Raw genomic sequence first — 18,106 nt, 5'->3', positions numbered from 1 at the left:
CTGGCCAGACTTAGAATTTGGCCCCAGGCAGGGCAAGCTCACTCGGAGCAGTGTGTCAGTAGCTGGGGCCTGTGCATGCCAGGCAAGGCCAAGGTGGCTCGAAGAGCAACCAGCCACCTCTGCAAGGGTGCACCTGGAGCAGGTGGAGCAGCCACCAACCTCACCCACTCAAGGAAGTAGGGATGGCCAGGTTCCCACAGCCTGCATGTCTGCGTCCTGATGGCTGATGGAGCAGAGGCCTGAGGAAAAGCAGATGGCACTGGGGCTCTACCTCTAGGGTAGAAGAACTGATGTACCCTGACTGGCTGCGAGTGAGGTTGGTGGCTGGTCCACCTGCTCCTGGCACACCCTTGCAGAGGTGGCTGGTTGCTCTTTGAGCCAGCTTGGCCTTACCCAGCATGCACAAACCTCAGTACAACAACTGTGCTACAAATGGAGCCACACAGAGAAAACAGAGCAGCAGGCTCAGGAGCAGGGTGTGTGCTGCGTTTGGGGCTCCAGTCAATGCCTTGGGGCTAGTATGGCTCTGTGGGCTTCTTGGTTGCAAAGAGGCAGACCACAGGCCATCTTGAGGAGGACTTTATGTTCAAGTGCAGAAAGCAGCCAGGATTACCACCCAGGGGACTCTGCCTTCTGTGGCCCTGACTGGACTTAGAATTTGGCCTAATACAGGACAAGCTCACTCAGAGCAGCATCTCAGTAGCTGGAGCCTGTGCATGCCAGTCAAGGCCAAGCTGTCTCAAAGAGCAACCAGCCACCTCCGCAAGGGTGTGCCTGGAGAAGATGTAGCAGCCATCAAACTGACCCACACAAGGAAGCACGGATGGCCAGGTTCCAACAGTCTGACTGGCTGCCACCTGGAGACTGATGGAGCAGAGGCCTGAGGAAAAGCAGATGGCACTGGGGCCCAACCTCTATGGGAGAAGAACTGATGTGCCCCAACCGGCAGCGTGTGAGTTTAGTGTCTGCTCCACCGGCTCCTGGCACACCCTTGCGGAGGTGGCTGGGTACTCTTTGAGCCAGCTTGGCTTCGCTCGGTATGCACAAGCCTCAGTACAACAGCTGTGCAAATGGAGCCACACACAGGGAATTAGCAGCAGGCTCAGGAGCAGGGTGTTCACTGCCTTTGGGGCTCTAGTCCATGCCTCTGAGCTTATATGGCACTGCAGGCTTCTTGGTTGCCAAGAGGCAGACCACAGGCCGTCTTGAGGAGGACTTTATGTTCAAGTGCAGAAAAAAGTCAGGATTACCACCCAGGGGACTCGCCTTTCTGTGGCCCTGGCCAGACTTAGAATTTGGCCCCAGGCAGGACAAGCTTACTCAGAGCAGCGTGTCAGTAGCTGGGGCCTGTGCATGCCAGGCAAGGCCAAGCTGGCTCAAAGAGCAAGCAGCCACCTCTGCAAGCATGCTCCTCATGCAGTTGGACCAGCCTTTAACTTCACCCACTCAGAGAAGCATGGATGGCCAGGTTCCAACAGCCTGAATGGCTGCCACCTGATGGCTGATGGAGCAGAGTCCTGAGGAAAAGCAGATGGCACTGCTTTGTAATGCCCTTCTTTGTCTCTTTTGATCTTTTCCATTTAAAGTTTGTTTTATCAGAGACTAGGATTGCAACCCCTGCTTTTTTTTTTTTTTTTCCTTTTCATTTGCTTGGTAAATATTCCTCCATCCCTTTATTTTGAGCCTGTGTGTGTCTTTGCATGTGAGATGGGTCTCCTGAATACAGTACACCAATGGGTCTTGAGTCTTTTTCCAACTTGCCAGTCTGTGTCTTTTTACTGGGGCATTTAGCCCAGTTACATTTAAGGTTAATATTGTTACATGTGAAATTTATCCTGTCATGATGTTGTTAGGTGTTTATTTTTCCCATTAGTTAATGCAGTTTCTTTATAGTGTCGATGGTCATTACAATTTGGTATGTTTTTGCAGTGGCTCATACTGTTTGTCCCTTTCCATGTTTAGTGCTTCCTTCAGGAGCTCTTGTAAGGTAAGAATGTGGATTTATTTCTTGTAAGGCAAATATGTGGATATATATCTGGGTGCTGTATTCTATGGCCTCTACCCCAAGAGTCATTACTTTTAAAAATGCAATTCAAATTAGCATAAAACATTTACAGCCTAGGGAAAGGCTTATGACATTAGAATCCTTATTTATAGGATTATTTTGTGTTTTTTTGAGATATGGTCTCTGTCTGTCATCCAGGCAGAAGTGGAGTGGCTTGGTCATAATTCACTGCAGCCCTGAACTCTGAGTCCAAGCCATCCTTGTGCCTTAGTCTCCCAACTAGCTGGATCTACAAGCATAAGTCACCATGGCTGGCTAATTTAAAAAAAAAAAAATTTTTGTCGAGATTATGTTATCACTATGTTGCTCTGGCTGGTTTCAAATTCCTGGCCTCAAGTAATCTTTCTGCCACAGCCTCCTATAGTGCTGGGATTACAGGCATGAGCCACCATGCCTAGCATAGAGTATTACATTATTTTCAAAGTCTTATTCTAAGAGCCATTTATTGACTTTGGCCTAAATAACTCAATATTATATCTCTGAAACTTTTTTTGACAAATTTTGGGGCATGATGATGAGAGAAAGGGGTTTGAAACTTTCTAATAAGAGTTAACGTAGAGCCATTTAAGGAGGAACAGACACAAATTATCAGAAAAATAAAAGAAAGATCAAGTGCAAAAGTTCTGTGGCAAAGATGATGATAGTAAAGAGTATATGTGACTTATGGTGGCTTTTACTTTGTTCTTGAATTTCTGAGTAATTTAAGGGTTAACATTTAAAGAATCTACATTATAGATAACATTTTATTGCAAGTAAATGTATTTCAAAATTTGTTATTGGTTTTGTATGAGATTATTCTCAGCCTACTTCATTTTCAAGCTATATTATTTTATTAATGTAGTTTGATGATCTTACAGCAGAGCTGGAAGCTGTATCTTCAAAATATGTCTGTTTGACTCAAAACAAGGTATTCAACAGGAGTTATTATGTATGAAAAAATACAACAGGAATGTAAAAAACTTGAGGCTAAAAAGATGTTGGAAGAAGTAATATTAAATCTTAAAAAACGTATGGAAAGTACACATTGGTGAAGACACATTGGTGAAGTACAAAAATATAAATTGGATCTAGAAGAAAAGGCAATGCAGGCAATGGAAAAATTAGTACAAATCCCTTTACAGGTTAGTTTGTAAAATCAGGTAAGTTTATTTATAATGTGCTTTCATTTATTTCACTGCAAATTATATTTTGGAGATTATATATATATATATATATATATATATATATATATATATATCGTGTTTTCTCTGCCTCTCTTGTAGTAATTTGCCTTGTGGAGTTCTAGCAAAGAGGTGGCATCTGTTTTTACTTTTATATGTTTAAATTTCCATCATTATAACAAAATCGATTTTTCACAGTAATGATTCTCAGTGTGGAGTCATTTGATTATTAAGACCCATTGACATGAGATTACATCCTCTGCCTATAAAAATCCTGGAAGAAAACCTAGGAAATATTCATCTGGACATTGCACTTGGCAATGAATTTATGGGTAAGTCCTCAAAAGCAATTGCCAGAAAAATGAAAATTGACAAGTATGATTTAATTAAACTAAAGAGCTTCTTCTACACAGCATGAGAAACTCTCAAGGGATTGAACAGACAGCCTACAGAATGGAAGAAAATATTCACACACTATGCATACAGCAAAGGCCTATTATCCAGAAGCCATAAGAGACTTATGCAAATCAACGAGCAAAAAATAAATAACCCCATTAAAAAATGGGCAAAGAACATAAACAGACAGTTTTCAGAAGAACACATATGTGGCCAACAAACATATTAACACATGCATACCATCACTAATCATCAGAGAAATGCAAAACAAAACAGCAGTGAAATACCATCTCACACCAGTTAGAATGACTTCTGTTAAAAAGGAAAAATAATAAAAATATTTAAATATTTAATATTAAAATATCATTTAGATTGAGATAAATTAATTTGTCATTATCATTAATTCTCAAAACATGGATATTTAAGAATAAGCTTACTTCACATGTAATAACAACTACCTTAAAAACTAAAAGCTGGGGCCTGGTATGGTGTCTCAAGTCTGTAATCCCAGCACTTTGGGAAGCTGAGGTGGGCCGATCATGAGGCCAGGAGTTTGAGACAAGCCTGGCCAACATGGTGAAACCCCGTCTCTACTAAAAATACAAAAATTAGCTGGGCATGGTGGTGGGCACCTGTAATCCCAGCTACTCAGGAGGCTGAGGCAGGAGAATTCATTGGAACCCTGGGAGGCGGAGGTGGTTGCAGTGAGCTGAGATCACACCATTGCACTGCAGCCTGGGCAACAGGGCGAGACTCCATCTCAAAAAAAATAAATAAAATTAAATGAATAAAAACAAATAAATAAAAGCTGGAAGTTCTATGAAAACAATGCACATACCATTTTTATAAAATGTTCATGGTTTCTCTAGAGATTTCAATACCTATTCTAGCTTATTACAGTAACCTATAATTTGTACTATACCAACTATGGTATAAAAACCTTAAAATGTATATTTCTGTTTCCTCTCTCCTTTATACTATTTATGTCATGCATTATAGTCTCAAATATTATGAATTCCATAATATAAAGTTACTTTTTTTAAAAAAATTAGACAATCAATTATCTTTAGAGCAATGTAAAATAATTGGGTTATATATCTTTATATCTTCTCTGGCATTATTTATTTCTTTGTGTAGTTTCAACTTTCACCTGCTTCCATATTCCTTTTGCCTCAAGAAATGATTTTGACATTTATTTTAGTGCATACCTGTTAGCAAGGGACTCTTCCAGTGTTAATCTGAAAATGTCATTTAATTGTTATTTTTGCTGTATTACAGTTAATGGATATAAGATTGGGGGTTGACTTTTCTTCAGTTATTTAAGAATTTTGTATCATTGGTTTCTGACTTGTAGAGTTACTGACAAGCAGTTCATTATAATGTTTGTTTCTGTTTATCTCTCTACACAGTGTTCCTATTTTTTCTGTGACTGAATTCAAGATTTGTGGTAATCATTGGTTTTCAGCAGTTTGACTAGTGTGATTATTCTAGCGTTCTTTAAATTTTGTATTAATCTTTCTTGGATATTTTGAGGTTATTTGGTCTCCTTAGTCATCTTTTTCAAATTTTTCTTCTCTCACATTCTGTTTTTACTTTCCTTCTGTAATTCCAATTAATTATATTTTAGTTAATTTCATATTACCAGAAAATTCTTGGATTCACTGGAGTATTTTATTTGCTTGGTTTATTGGTTTATTTGGTTTTTCTCTTTCCTCCCTTTGTGCTACCATTCAAATGATTTGTATTGACCTAGTATAAAATTTACTGCTTCTTTCTTTAACTCTGATGACCAGTCTGCTAATCAGCTTGCTGATGTAATTCATCTTTGTTCTCATGCTTTCACTTATTTCTAGATTTTGCCTTTTACTGTTCCCATCTTTGCTGAAATACCTCATTTTTCCATACATGTTGTATTTTTTAACTAGATCCTTTAACATTTTGATCATTATTATTTTAAATTACTTGCATTTAGTTCCAACATCTGAATTATCTCTGAATTTGATTCTGTTGACTTTTTATCCTTTGAAAATATTATAACTCATAACTCAAATTTCTAACTTGCTTTTATGTGTCTCCCAATTTCTAAAAAATGCAAATCATCTGATGTAGAAAAACAGTAGATCATGAGATAATTATGTCGAGATTGTTTTATATTTCTCTTTCATTTTTATGTCATGCTATTAGTGTGGGCAGGAACAAAGGTTGCTTTTTGCTGCGGTGTCTGAAACATTCAGTGACCAATGTAACTCAGATTTCTCCAGCACTAGGCTGCTATGTGATGTGCCTTGTGTGGGGCCTTAGACTCTGGAGAGCATATGCCAATGATCCTGTTCCACAGTTAGCTTTCGGTAGTCCTTACCACCTATGTTATAGAGAGGGTCTCTCTCCACTTTCTTGTTCCTCTCTAACTGTAGAACATCATTTTGTGTGTGTGTGTGTGTGTGACTAGGCAAAAAATTCAGGTTGGGGACAGAGGGATGATTCATGTTATTTTTGAGCCAGTTTCATCATTGGACACTCACAGAAGGGGTATTTTTAACACTTCTTGACTCTTATTCTAGTGGGAGTCAAACTGTCACTTACCTGTGTTGTTTTTTGCAGAAGAAATAATAACTTACCCTCCTCCCACCTCAGTAGTAGAAAACCTCTGATTTATATCATTGCAAGTTTTCAACCCCACAATAAGGACAAACTCTTTTATTTCTCCTTCCATAGGAACAATATACCTTTGTCTGTGGTCACTGGATGGAGACTTTCCAAACCTTTACCACAGTAGCACGACTCTGCATTAGTGCAAAATCCTGGGCCCCAAAACAATCCTTGTTCCTCTCCTGATGGAGGAGTATTTTTCTTGCATCCCTCTCCCAGAAGCAGTGATCCTTTGCCTGGTATCAGGTGGGGTAGGGTAGGGTATGAGAGGTTTCTTAACCTTCTCTGAAAGCTGATGTGTTTTGCTTCTTCTTATCTCCCAGAAACAGTAGACTTTTGCATGGGTTCATGGACCCAGATGCTTTTTTGCCACAGCAAATTAAGGGTTTTGATTCTTAGGAGAGAAGCAAATGTTCATGTAGTCAATTTTTTTCTTATTTATTTTTTGCTTTGTTTTCTTATTTCAGTAATGATGAGTTCAATATGATCATTATTTTCCACTTACACTGCTTGCAACTCTAATGTTTTGTTTTTGTTAGTCCCCCTTTGACAGTTCAGCACTAAATCAAATGCAGATAATCATCAGTTGTGTGAATAAAGTGTTTTTAATTGAGAACAAAATTGTTGATATAGACACAAATTTGGATATTATCCTACTTAGCACAATATGTCGCTGGTTCAAAATGTAAAAACCTCTTTAGGCTGAACAAAGAATGGTTCTTGGAACTATTGTCCCTTTTTGACAAATAAAATAAAACCCAATGCTTTTTATCTCATGGATAGATTATTAAAATAACTACATACCTGATCTTCATTTTATGTTCTCTCTCTTCAAGATATTCCTTCAAAACTACTTTGACTGATTAGTCTCTTTTGAATTATGTTAGACTCTGTATTTTCTCCACAAGCTCATCAGGGTAAATCCTGCCTTTACATTTTTTATAAAAATTCTCTTTTTTTTTCAAATCTTAGTTGAGCTGAAAGATTTCCACCAAATGTCTCCTATGCCAGAAAGCCTTATTTTACTTATCTCCCCTGTCCTCCTTGCTCAAGCTCATTTAGGAATATTTTAATTAAAACATTCATGCAATACTGTTTTTTAAAAAATCTGAACATATAGTATTTTCAATCTGAATACAAAATAGTGCTCTAATTTGAAAACAAGTTTTAGAAACAAATGTTTCTAGAAGGAGAATCAACAGTGTCATAAATATCATAATCCAATTTTCCTGTTTGTACTAAAACATTAGCAAATATTTATTGAGAAATTGCCATCTGCCTGAAAGTATAATGCTTTTGATGCACATTATATCATAAAAACTAGGTACTATTATTAGTAGTATCTTAAGAGTAAAAATATTGAGTCTTAGAGAAGTTAAGCAATGTGCCCAAATAGCATAGGGAAAGTTGGAATTCTGAAATTCTGACTATGCTGTGCGTAGGTTAGGAGAATCAAGGCTTGTCAAATGTAACTGTTAAGTCATTGTGGGGATACGGAGGCCTCTGATTGCTAGGGTCAATACACTTAAGCAGATCATGTCACTACTTAGTTAAATCTATTTCATTAAAGCAAAATTCCGTAAAGATTATTGGCACCAAAACTATTAATTTTCCTTCCTTCCTTTCTCTCTTTCTTTCCTTCCTTCCTTCCTTCCTTCCTTCCTTCCTTCCTTCCTTCCTTCCTTCCTTGTCTTTCTGTCTTTCTTTGAGACAGGGTCTCATTCTGTTGCCCAAGCTGGAGTGCAGTGGCACAATCATGGCTCACTGCAGCCCCAGCTTCCCCAGACTCCGGTGATCCTCCCACCTCATCCTCCTGAGTAGCTGGGACTACAGGCAGGCAAGCCACTATGCCTGGCTAAATTTTCTTTTTCTTTTTCTTTTTTTTTTTTTTTTTGTAAAGATTGGGTTTCACCATGTTGCCGAGCCTGGTCTGCAACTACTCAGCTCAAGCAATCCACCTGCCTTTGCCTCCCAAAGTATTGGGACTCCAGGTGTAAGCCACATGCCTGGCCAAAAATATTATTTAACAAGTTCAATTTAACTATTAGATTTTGGACAATGAGGGATAGAATTTTCTACATCATAAATCATCTTGTGTTCTTTATTTAAAGTAATATGTAAGGATTTCAATTTGATTCAAATATATTTATTAGCAAATTAAATGTCTTTTTCAGGATTCCAAACTTTTGTTGAAGACATAAATGTTAAATGATGTCACTAATTTTAATTAGACTAGCAGAAATGTACTCTGGTGTTTAATAACAATGACAGAATGGGCTATTAATTTTATTTTCTTTCCCTTTCTCCCTTTCCCCTTTTTAAAATATTTTACTTTTCAGGCTCTTTGGAATCCTGTAGATAGAGTTTTGGAGAATTAGACAAAACACTCACAGAAACTGCCAACCCTTGGATGAAATATATTATTACTGTGCTTTGGGATTAAAATAACTACAGTTTATAGAACTTTTGTACTGATACACAGACACTAAAAAGGGAAAGGGTTTGGATGAGAAGCTCTGCTATGCAACCAGGAATCTCAGCCACTCATTTCTGTCGGAGCTGCAGGAGCTCCCTGTAAAGAGAGGTTATGGAGTCTGTAGCTTCAGGAAAGATACTTAAAACCCTTCAGAGTTTCTCCATTTTTCCCAGAGTTTCCCCAAAAAGGTTATGACATTTTATAAGAATGCTTCACTTGTGAAAAACTAATATCAAAGTCTTCTTGTAATTTATATTTAAGGATAAATCTTTATCCCATGTTTAATTTATTTAGCTTACCCTGTAGCTAATATTTCATGCTGAACACATTTTAAATGCTGTAAATATAGATAATATAATTTATGGATCATTAATGCCTCTCTAGTAGTTTAGAGAAAATGTCAAAAGAAATGGCCCCAGAATAAGCTTCTTGATTTGTAAAATTCTATGTCATTGACTCAAGTTTGTATGTCATCTCAAAATATAAATATAGACATCTCAGAAAATATATTTGAAATAGCAAATTCCTGTTAGAAAAGAATAGTACTTAACTAGATAAGAATAACAAGTCACCATTATTTGAATTGTCTCCTATTAATTTTTGTTGTGTTGTGTTACTCATGTTTTACTTATGGGGGATATACATAACTTCTGCTGTTTTCAGAATTATTGTATGCAGTCAGTATGAGAATGCAATTTAAGTTTCCTTGATGCTTTCTCACACCTCTATTACTAGAAATAAGAATACAGTAATATTGGCAAAGAAAATTGACCAGTTCAATAAAATTTTTTAGTAAATCTGATTGAAAATAAACATTGCTTATGGCTTTCTTACATCAATATTGTTATGTCTTAGACTACCTTATGTGAAATTAAGGCTTTGAAATTCTAATTATGTGCAAATGTGTAAAATAGCATCACCTAACGCTATATAATATACTCTTTATTTCTATAATGTGATGGCAGGTTTATAATTCTGGAAAGATATACACAACATGAAATTTACCTTTTTAATCACTTTAAGTGCACAGTTTTGTGGCATTAAGTATATTTGCACTATTGTGCAACAGTCACCACCATAGACCTCCAAAACTTGTCTTCTTCTCCAACTAAAATGCTTTACTCATTGAACACCAACTTCCCATTCCTCTCCCTCTCCTTCCCCCTAGCAATCACCATTCTACTTTCTGTCTCTACAACTTTCACTAAGTAACTCATAGAAGTGGCATGATAGAATGTTTGAATTTTTCTGACTGGCTTATTTCACTTAGCATGTCTTCAAGTTTCATCTATTTTGTAGCATGTGTGAGAATATATTTTAAGGCTGAATATTATTATGTTGCCGTATATACCACATTTTGTTTAACCACTCATCCATCAATATTCACAAGGGCTGCTCCCTCCCTTTGATTATTGTGAATAATATTGCTAATGGACACGCTGCACAAACATCTGTTTGGTCCCTCTGCTCATTTATTTTGGATATGGATTTGCATTTTAATACAAAGGAGAAATTACACAGCTTTTTAAAAGTGTCCAGATAAAAAGGAGCACAACATCAGTAAAATATTAGAAAGTAGATTAGGGGGAAAAACAGGGAAGGAATTGAACCAAAAGTCAATAAGCTGCATAAGAGAGTTTCAAGAGGAGGAAAAAATTGACAATATTAACATAGAATTAAAGAGCGATAGGTAGATATTTAGAAAATTGTCTCATGTACTTATATGTCGCCTGTGAACTGATATTTACATTATTTTATTATTCCAGGTTTCCAAAAGTAAGTGCAATATGAGAGTTTCATGATGCTAAATAAACTGAAACATGCTATATATTTTGATATATTGTCCTTGAGAGGAGGCTGAGTGGTAATTAGTGCAATTTTAAATTATGATATGATAATGCAGTCAATCTGCCAAACTGACAAACAGTATATATACAATATGTATACATTTCTCGCAAAATTCAGTTTTATCATACAATTAAATTATGATTTAAAACTACCTGACAATTAATGGAGGAAAAAAATAAAACAACATTTGCATTAATATTACCATAATTTTGATATTATTGTAAATATCAAAATATGTACTTAGAGATAAACCAGCAAAAAAGAGAAACATTTGAAAACTACAAAACTACAAAATATTGCTAAAATAAATGAGACCTAAATAAATGGAATTTATGAGTCATAAATCTCTATATTGTTAAGATGTCTACTCTTCCCACATTGATCTATAACAATTCCAATCAAATCACAGCTGGATTTCTTATTTTAGAAATTGAGAAACTAAAATTCTGAAATGTACATCAATGGGTAGAGGACCTATAATGGCAAATTACTTTGAAAGGAAACAGTTACTTTGAAACCAGGTGCTGCTGGAGAATAAACAGCACCGGGATTCAAGACTTAGAACGTTACAGTAATACTTAAGACAATGTAGTACAAATATAGATATACACATGTATATCAGCTATCAGCTAATTTTTGATAAAGTTCTTAGACCATTCATGGACATAACATTTTCAACAAATGCTTCTGAAACAATTAGATATCCCAGTATATATTTGTGTGTATGTGTGAAGCTCAATACTTCACACCTGAGAGGTATGAGTGTGCATTACAAAAGAGAACTAGGAAGCTTTGAGAGTATTGGATATGCTCATTGTCCCCTTCATGGTGATTGTTTAATGGGCACATGTACATATCAAATTCATCTCATTTACACTTTAAATATTGGAAGTGTGTTTTATGTTCGTTAGACATGAATAAAGCTGCAAAATGTTACCAAATATTCACTTACTATGCTTTTATTCATTTTCCTCTCTCTATAAACCTTCAGATAGAAAATGCAGTTGAAAGATATTTCATAAAGGAAGAAAAGAAGTATGAATACAGGTGAGAGATATTACTGAGATTTTTTTTCAGTGCAATCCTGGTCTTTTCTGACTAGCAATATTTTTATGTGCAGAAGTAGTAGAAAAGATAAATATTTTGTACAGTAGAAAAACACATTATTTCTGTGCCGTGGAAGAGAGAACTCACAAAGATGACAGCTTCTGGCTATGTTGGATACTAACCAGTACTGTAAGTACCCAACGATCTGACTTTAACACTGGCTGTAAAGCTCCTTTAATGTTCCTTGCAAGGATTTGAACCTATTTACTGGAACCCTCATCGCTTATTGAGTTGAAAAACATTGTTGATATGTGTTTATCTTATATTTGCAGTAGAGTCATAATTTTACTTTTTAGAAAATTATATATTAAACAAAAAAAGACACATGAAATTGTATATTGTTTAATGTTTCAACTGTGATATCACTCCATATGCATATTTAAATTCCTATTTGATAAAGGATAGGAAATACAGAAAGAATTCTTGTGATAATAGCGAACACAGAACTGTTGAAAGGTGTTGAAGCTGAGCTGGAGAGAGTCACCAAGGCTGGCGCCAAAGCTGGCAAGGTCGGAGGGTTTCCTGCCTGGGCGGCACAGCTTGAGCTCGCCCTGCGTCACGAGTGGTGGAAACTGCAGACCCAGCTGGGCCCTGAGGTCTCTGCCTCAGCCTCCCGCCTGCTAGGAGCTGCGCTGAGGTCCCAGATAGGCGACGCTGGCGGGGTGCCCCTGAGCGAAGGCAGCCCATGTGTGGGACAGCAGCAGGAGACCAGGGTCCAGGGACCCACCTCCCACCGCGGGAACCTCGAGCCTCCCCTGGCACCCCTAGCTTGGTCCGCCTGGCCTCCGGAGCCCGGTGTGTATCCTGGTCATGGGGACGCCCACCAGGTGCCCGGGAGTCCCCCTCGGCCACAGCCTGCGGCTCCGCCGGCCCTCAAGCCCGGTGTGGGGACTCCAGCCCTGCCGCCTCTGCTCCCGCCAGGCTGGGACCTGTCCTCCTCCTGGGCGCCCGGCAGTAGGGGCGATGCACACTGCCCGCTGCCCTGCACAGCCTTTCGCCGCACATCCCCTCTCGCCCCTCTGCCCCGGGCCAGGACCTTCCTGGCCGCACAGAACCCACCTTCCTTCCCGTTGCAGAGCTGCTCCGCTTCCCCAAACCACAGGGAAAAACGGCAGATCTCCAACCAAACAGAAATCTGTGTGTGACTCCTCTGGTTTGATACTGCCAGTCCCCACATTTTCTTCCGGGTGTTTTCTTGGCAGAATGTGCCCAATGTTTGATGTTTCACCAGCAATGAGGCTGAAAAGTGACAGCAATAGAGAAACACATCAGGCTTTCCGCGACAAAGATGACCTTCCCTTCTTCAAAACTCAGCAATCTCCACGGCACACAAAGGACTTAGGACAAGATGACCGAGCTGGAGTGCTCGCCCCAAAATGCAGGCCCGGAGTGGGTCACCTCCTTAGGGCAGGCCCAGGCTTGTCCTGGCTGCCCCGGCGCCTTTCTCCTCACTCCCACCCAATGCAGGGGACCCCACAAACTCGGCTGTTGGGGCTCCCTGGTCCTCCCTCCACAGAAGCCACCTCCTGCCCTCCAAGCTGGGGGTCTCCTGGGGCGTCCTGGGCTGAGAGGGAAAGACGCCAGCTCCGCAAGCCGGGAAGGGAACACCGCCACATTGTTACACGCACACACCACCACACTGTCACATGTACAGACACACGGAGACATTACCACACGGACACACCGTCACATGGACACACTGGCACATTCACATGGACGGACACACAGACATACGGAGAAATCCACACGGACACACCACCACACTATCACAGGGACACACAGACACACGGAGACATCACATGGACACACCACCACACTATCACAGGGACACACAGACACACAAGAGACATCACTACACTGTCACATGGACACACCATCACAGGAACACACAAACACACTGCCACATGGACACTGCCACACAGAGACACACCGCCACACTGTCACATGGACACACCTCCACACTGTCAGACACCACCACACAGACACTGCCATGTGGACACAAGGACACACAGACATTGTCACATGGATACACAAACACACTGTCACACGGAGACATCACCATGCAGATACATGAACACACCACCACATGGACATAGCACCACACAGACACTCTGCCACACGGACACACCACCACACAGACACACCACCACGCTGCCACACAGAGACACCACCACATCATTGCCACATTTTCATGTGTCAGCTGGCGGTGTGGGCCCCACGACTCTGAGCTCTAATAGAGAAATTACTTAGGCATATAGTGAAGGCAAAATTTTTTTTTTCTGAGGCGTAGTCTCGCTCTGTCCCCCAGGCTGGAGTGCAGTGGCGCGATCTCGGCTCACTGCAAGCTCCGCCTCCCGGGTTCACACCACTCTCCCGCCTCAGCCTCCCGAGTAGCTGGGACTACAGGAGCCCGCCACCAAGCCCGGCCACCTTTTGGGTGTTTTTAGTACAGACGGGGTTTCACCTTGCTAGCCAGGATGGTCTGGATCTCCTGACCTCGTGATCTGCCCGCCTTGGCCTCCCAAAGTGCTGGGACTACAGGTGTGAGCCACCGCGCCTGGCCAAGAATTTCTTTCCATCTCCTGTGTTATTGCTTTGGCAGTGGAAATGCGCGTGGCCTCTAGAGTGGGTCCCAAGGTCATGAAGGCCTGTAAGGTGGAGGGCAAGGTCTCTCTTTCCAGGCTGGAATGGAGGAAGATGTGGTGGCCGAGGGGCTGCATGTCCTCCTCGCGGCAGGCCCCTGAGGACCTTTATCCTCCTGAGCTGCGAATGTCCCTCAGGGGTGTCTAAAGCGCTGGGTGGGGCCCTTATAGGCCTTACGAGCTCTGGCCAATTAGTGGTCCGTAAAACGCAGAGGTGAACACCATAGAACCACAGGTCCAGGAGAATTTTGCAAAAGCTCTGAGGATGCCCTTTTTTGTTCTCCCACTGCAAAATTGTTTTAAAAAGCAAAAAATCCAGCAATGTCCGGGGAAAGTCAATACTGAGTGTCAGCGCGGGATGCTGCTGCTGATACGGTCCCAGCGTCCTGGCCGAAAGTGGCCTCCTCGGGGACCGCATCTCCGCGCACCATGGCAGCAAACGCCAGCGGTTTGTGGGCGGATGGTGTCCCCGTGGCCATCCCCGCTCCTGAGTGCGGAAGGACAGACAGGAGCGGGGACTTCTGGGTGTTCCTGGTGTCAGCCAGCTTGACGCCGTTGTTCCTCCTGGAAATCCGGGATTTGGAGAAGCACCTGGTTCCTGATGGAGGCCGTGGGCCTCTTGGTCCCCGCTTACCAGGCAGCGGCGCCAGCCTAGTTCTCAGCCCCGTCCCCGATGGGCGCCGCCTTCCATCAGGCCAAAGACTTTCCTCCAAACTGCCCTTCTTGGGGCGGGGAAGCAGCATCCTGGGCCTCCCCTGGGGCCTGTGGTGCTGGCAGCAGCTCCACGTTGAGGTCGCCTGCAGCCCGCACTGCGGAGCACTGGAGGTTCCTGAGCCCGGTCTGGGGAGGCCAATCCGCAGGTGCCTGGTGCCCGGTGCCTGCCGCAGTCTCAAAAGCGCCTGGAGGTGACATCCAGGAGCACCACTGCACCACCCGCAGGGAGACCCACGGCGAGGCGCGCCCCCTAAAGCGGCCAAGGAAGAAGCAGAAGGATAGGAAGGCACCCAGAGCTTGGGGTGATCTCAGGCCGCGCGCCCCGACCAAGTTCCTGGTCTCCGGGAGGTTTTTTTTTAATTTCTTCCATATTATTATCTTTATTATTATTAACTTTTCAAGATGGATTAAAGACTTAAATGTTAGACCTAAAACCGTAAAAACCCTAGAAGAAAACCTAGGCAATACCATTCAGGACATAGGCATGGGCAAGGACTTCATGTCTAAATCACCAAAAGCAATGGCAACAAAAGCCAAAATTGACAAATGGGATCTAACTAAACTAAAGAGCTTCTGCACAGCAAAAGAAACTACCATCAGAGTGAACAGGCAACTTACAGAATGGGAGAAAAATTTTGCAATCTACCCATCTGACAAAGGGCTAATATCCAGAATCTACAAAGAACTTAAACAAATATACAAGAAAAAATCAAACAATCCCATCAAAAAGTGGGGGAAGGATATGAACAGACACTTCTCAGAAGAAGACATTTATGCAGCCAACAGACACATGAAAAAATGTTCATCATCACTGGCCATCAGAGAAATGCAAATCAAAACCACAATCCGGGAGGTATTGCCAAAGACGATGTGGGCTTTCTGGGCAATGTCCGGCCTGAGCTGGAGATTCTGGGACGCGGTCAAGTGGTCCTTTGGAGATTCCACGGCTTCGGATCCCTACTGCAGGATGCTCCGCTGTGTCTGACAGCCTCTGGCATTTTGCTGAGGGGTAACCTCGGAATGTATAGACATAAGAACACTGGGATGGCCCAGTCGTGCCCCAGGCATTCCCGCACACAGTGGTCGCAAAGGCAGGCGCTGAGACAAAGTGCCCAGTCGGCTTGGTGAGAGTTCTTTACAGGTTAGTGAAAGACTTGGTCCCGTGCTTGTGTTTTCTCATGTTTTCAGTTAACCTGCGGACGCCCAGGGGCTCCTCCATCTCCACCCTGTTCTCCTCGGGCTGAAGCCCAAAGTCCCCCATTTTCTCCTCAAACGGCTCACAGAGCCACTTCTGCAGGCAGGAGGACAGCGGTGGGCTCAGTGGCTGACCTGGGAAGCCACATCTGAAGGAACTGCTGGGTGACTATGGCCATAAGTCAATCAAAGCAGACTCCCTGGCTTGCTGCGCTACATTGATTTTGTTTTCATTTTTTAAAAGACGCAGAAGGGAGGTCCTAGGAAATTTGCCCAATGCAGATGCTGACAAGAGTGGTGACATGAAAAAGATTACCCAGAAGGAAAACAAGAGCTATTTTCTAAACATCTGAAATCTGTATAGGCTTTTGGAAAAGTGAAACTAGATGCAAAGCACAATGATATAATTCTGGCAATTTCCACTGACACAGAACTCAGTCAATCTGAATTAATCTAAGGGTTATAAGGAAAATGGCACTCCAAGAAGTATCTATTAACATCACTCAGCTGCTGTGAAATAGGCTTACAGACAACACGGAGTGTCAATTATCCAATGTTTAAAGTCAGTGATACAGATTGGACTACAATCTCTATGGCTCATAAAGTCTTCTTTAAAGGATTGACAGATGATTTATCTCATATGTAGACAATGATTCTCAGCAGTTAGCTAGCACAACTTGCTAATATCAATTGCTTGAGAAAATCAGATAATTGCTTGAGAAAATTAGGACATTGCTTGAGGATGTTAGGTAATTAAATAAATTACTTTTTTAAAGAATAGTTTAATGTTTTGGCAAGTAGACTTTAAAATAGATTGGTAATATTTTAAAGGCCACTTTTAAAGAAGTAGCAATATAACATGTGGAATTATGAAAAATAATAATGTTGGAAACAATTCAATTTTCTATCACAGATAATTTCACAAATATAGAAATACCATCTCAATAATTAGAAGAAGTAGCAGCAATTTCTGTCATTTTTATGCAAGTTACTCCTAGTCCATTTATCTGGTCTTAAATAGTGTTTTTAAAATTTGTTTTCAAACAAGTCTAATCATAAATAATAGAATATATTTTACAATAGTTGAAGGTAACAAAAAATAAGTGCTATTTAAAAAATTGTATTAGATTGTTTAAAAATGTTGTGGGTACATAGTATGTGTATGTATCTGTGGGGTCCCTGAGATGTTTTGATACAGGCATGTAATGTGAAATAAGCACATCTTGGGGAATGGGGTATCCCTCCCCTCAAGCATTTATCCTTCAAGTTATAAAAAATGCAATTACAGTCTTAGTTACTTCAAAATGTACCATTAAATTATTATTGGATATAGTCACCCTATTGTGCTATAAAATAGTAGGTCTTATTAACTCTCTATTTTTATACCCATTAACCATCCCCACCTTCCCACAAACCTCCCCCCCAACTACCTTTCCCAGCCTCTGATAACCATCCTTATACTCCATATGTCCATGAGTTTGTTTTGATTTTAGATTCCACAAATAAGTAAGAACATGTAACATTTGTCTTTCTGCGCCTGGCTTATTTCACTTAATATAATGATCCATAATGTTCCATCAGTGTTACTGACAATGACTGGATCTTGTTCTTTGTTACAGCTGAATAGTCCTCCATTGTGTATATGTACCACATTTTCTTTATCCATTCATCTGTTGATGGACACTAAGGTTTCTTCCACATCTTAGTTTTGTAAACAGTGCTGCAACAAATATGGGAGTGCAGATATGTATTTGACATACTGATTTCCTTCATTTTTGGTATAGACCCAGCAGTAGGATTGCTAGATCATATGGTAGCTCAACTTTTAGTTTATTGAGAAACATCCAAACTGTTC

The 18,106-nt window shown here is 40.8% G+C and overlaps 1 pseudogene; it reads left to right on the top strand.

The window, feature by feature from the left end:
• The first annotated feature begins 2,412 nt into the window (after positions 1–2,412).
• LOC100288929 (coxsackievirus and adenovirus receptor-like) overlaps positions 2,413–18,106 on the top strand; it is a 30,178-nt pseudogene continuing 14,484 nt past the window's right edge.

Source organism: Homo sapiens, unplaced genomic scaffold (genome assembly GCF_000001405.40).
Source record: "Homo sapiens unplaced genomic scaffold, GRCh38.p14 Primary Assembly HSCHRUN_RANDOM_CTG2".
Classification (NCBI taxonomy): Eukaryota; Metazoa; Chordata; class Mammalia; order Primates; family Hominidae; genus Homo; species Homo sapiens.
The sequence above is the reverse complement of the archived record's forward strand: the minus strand, read 5'-3'. Positions and strand labels throughout refer to the sequence as shown.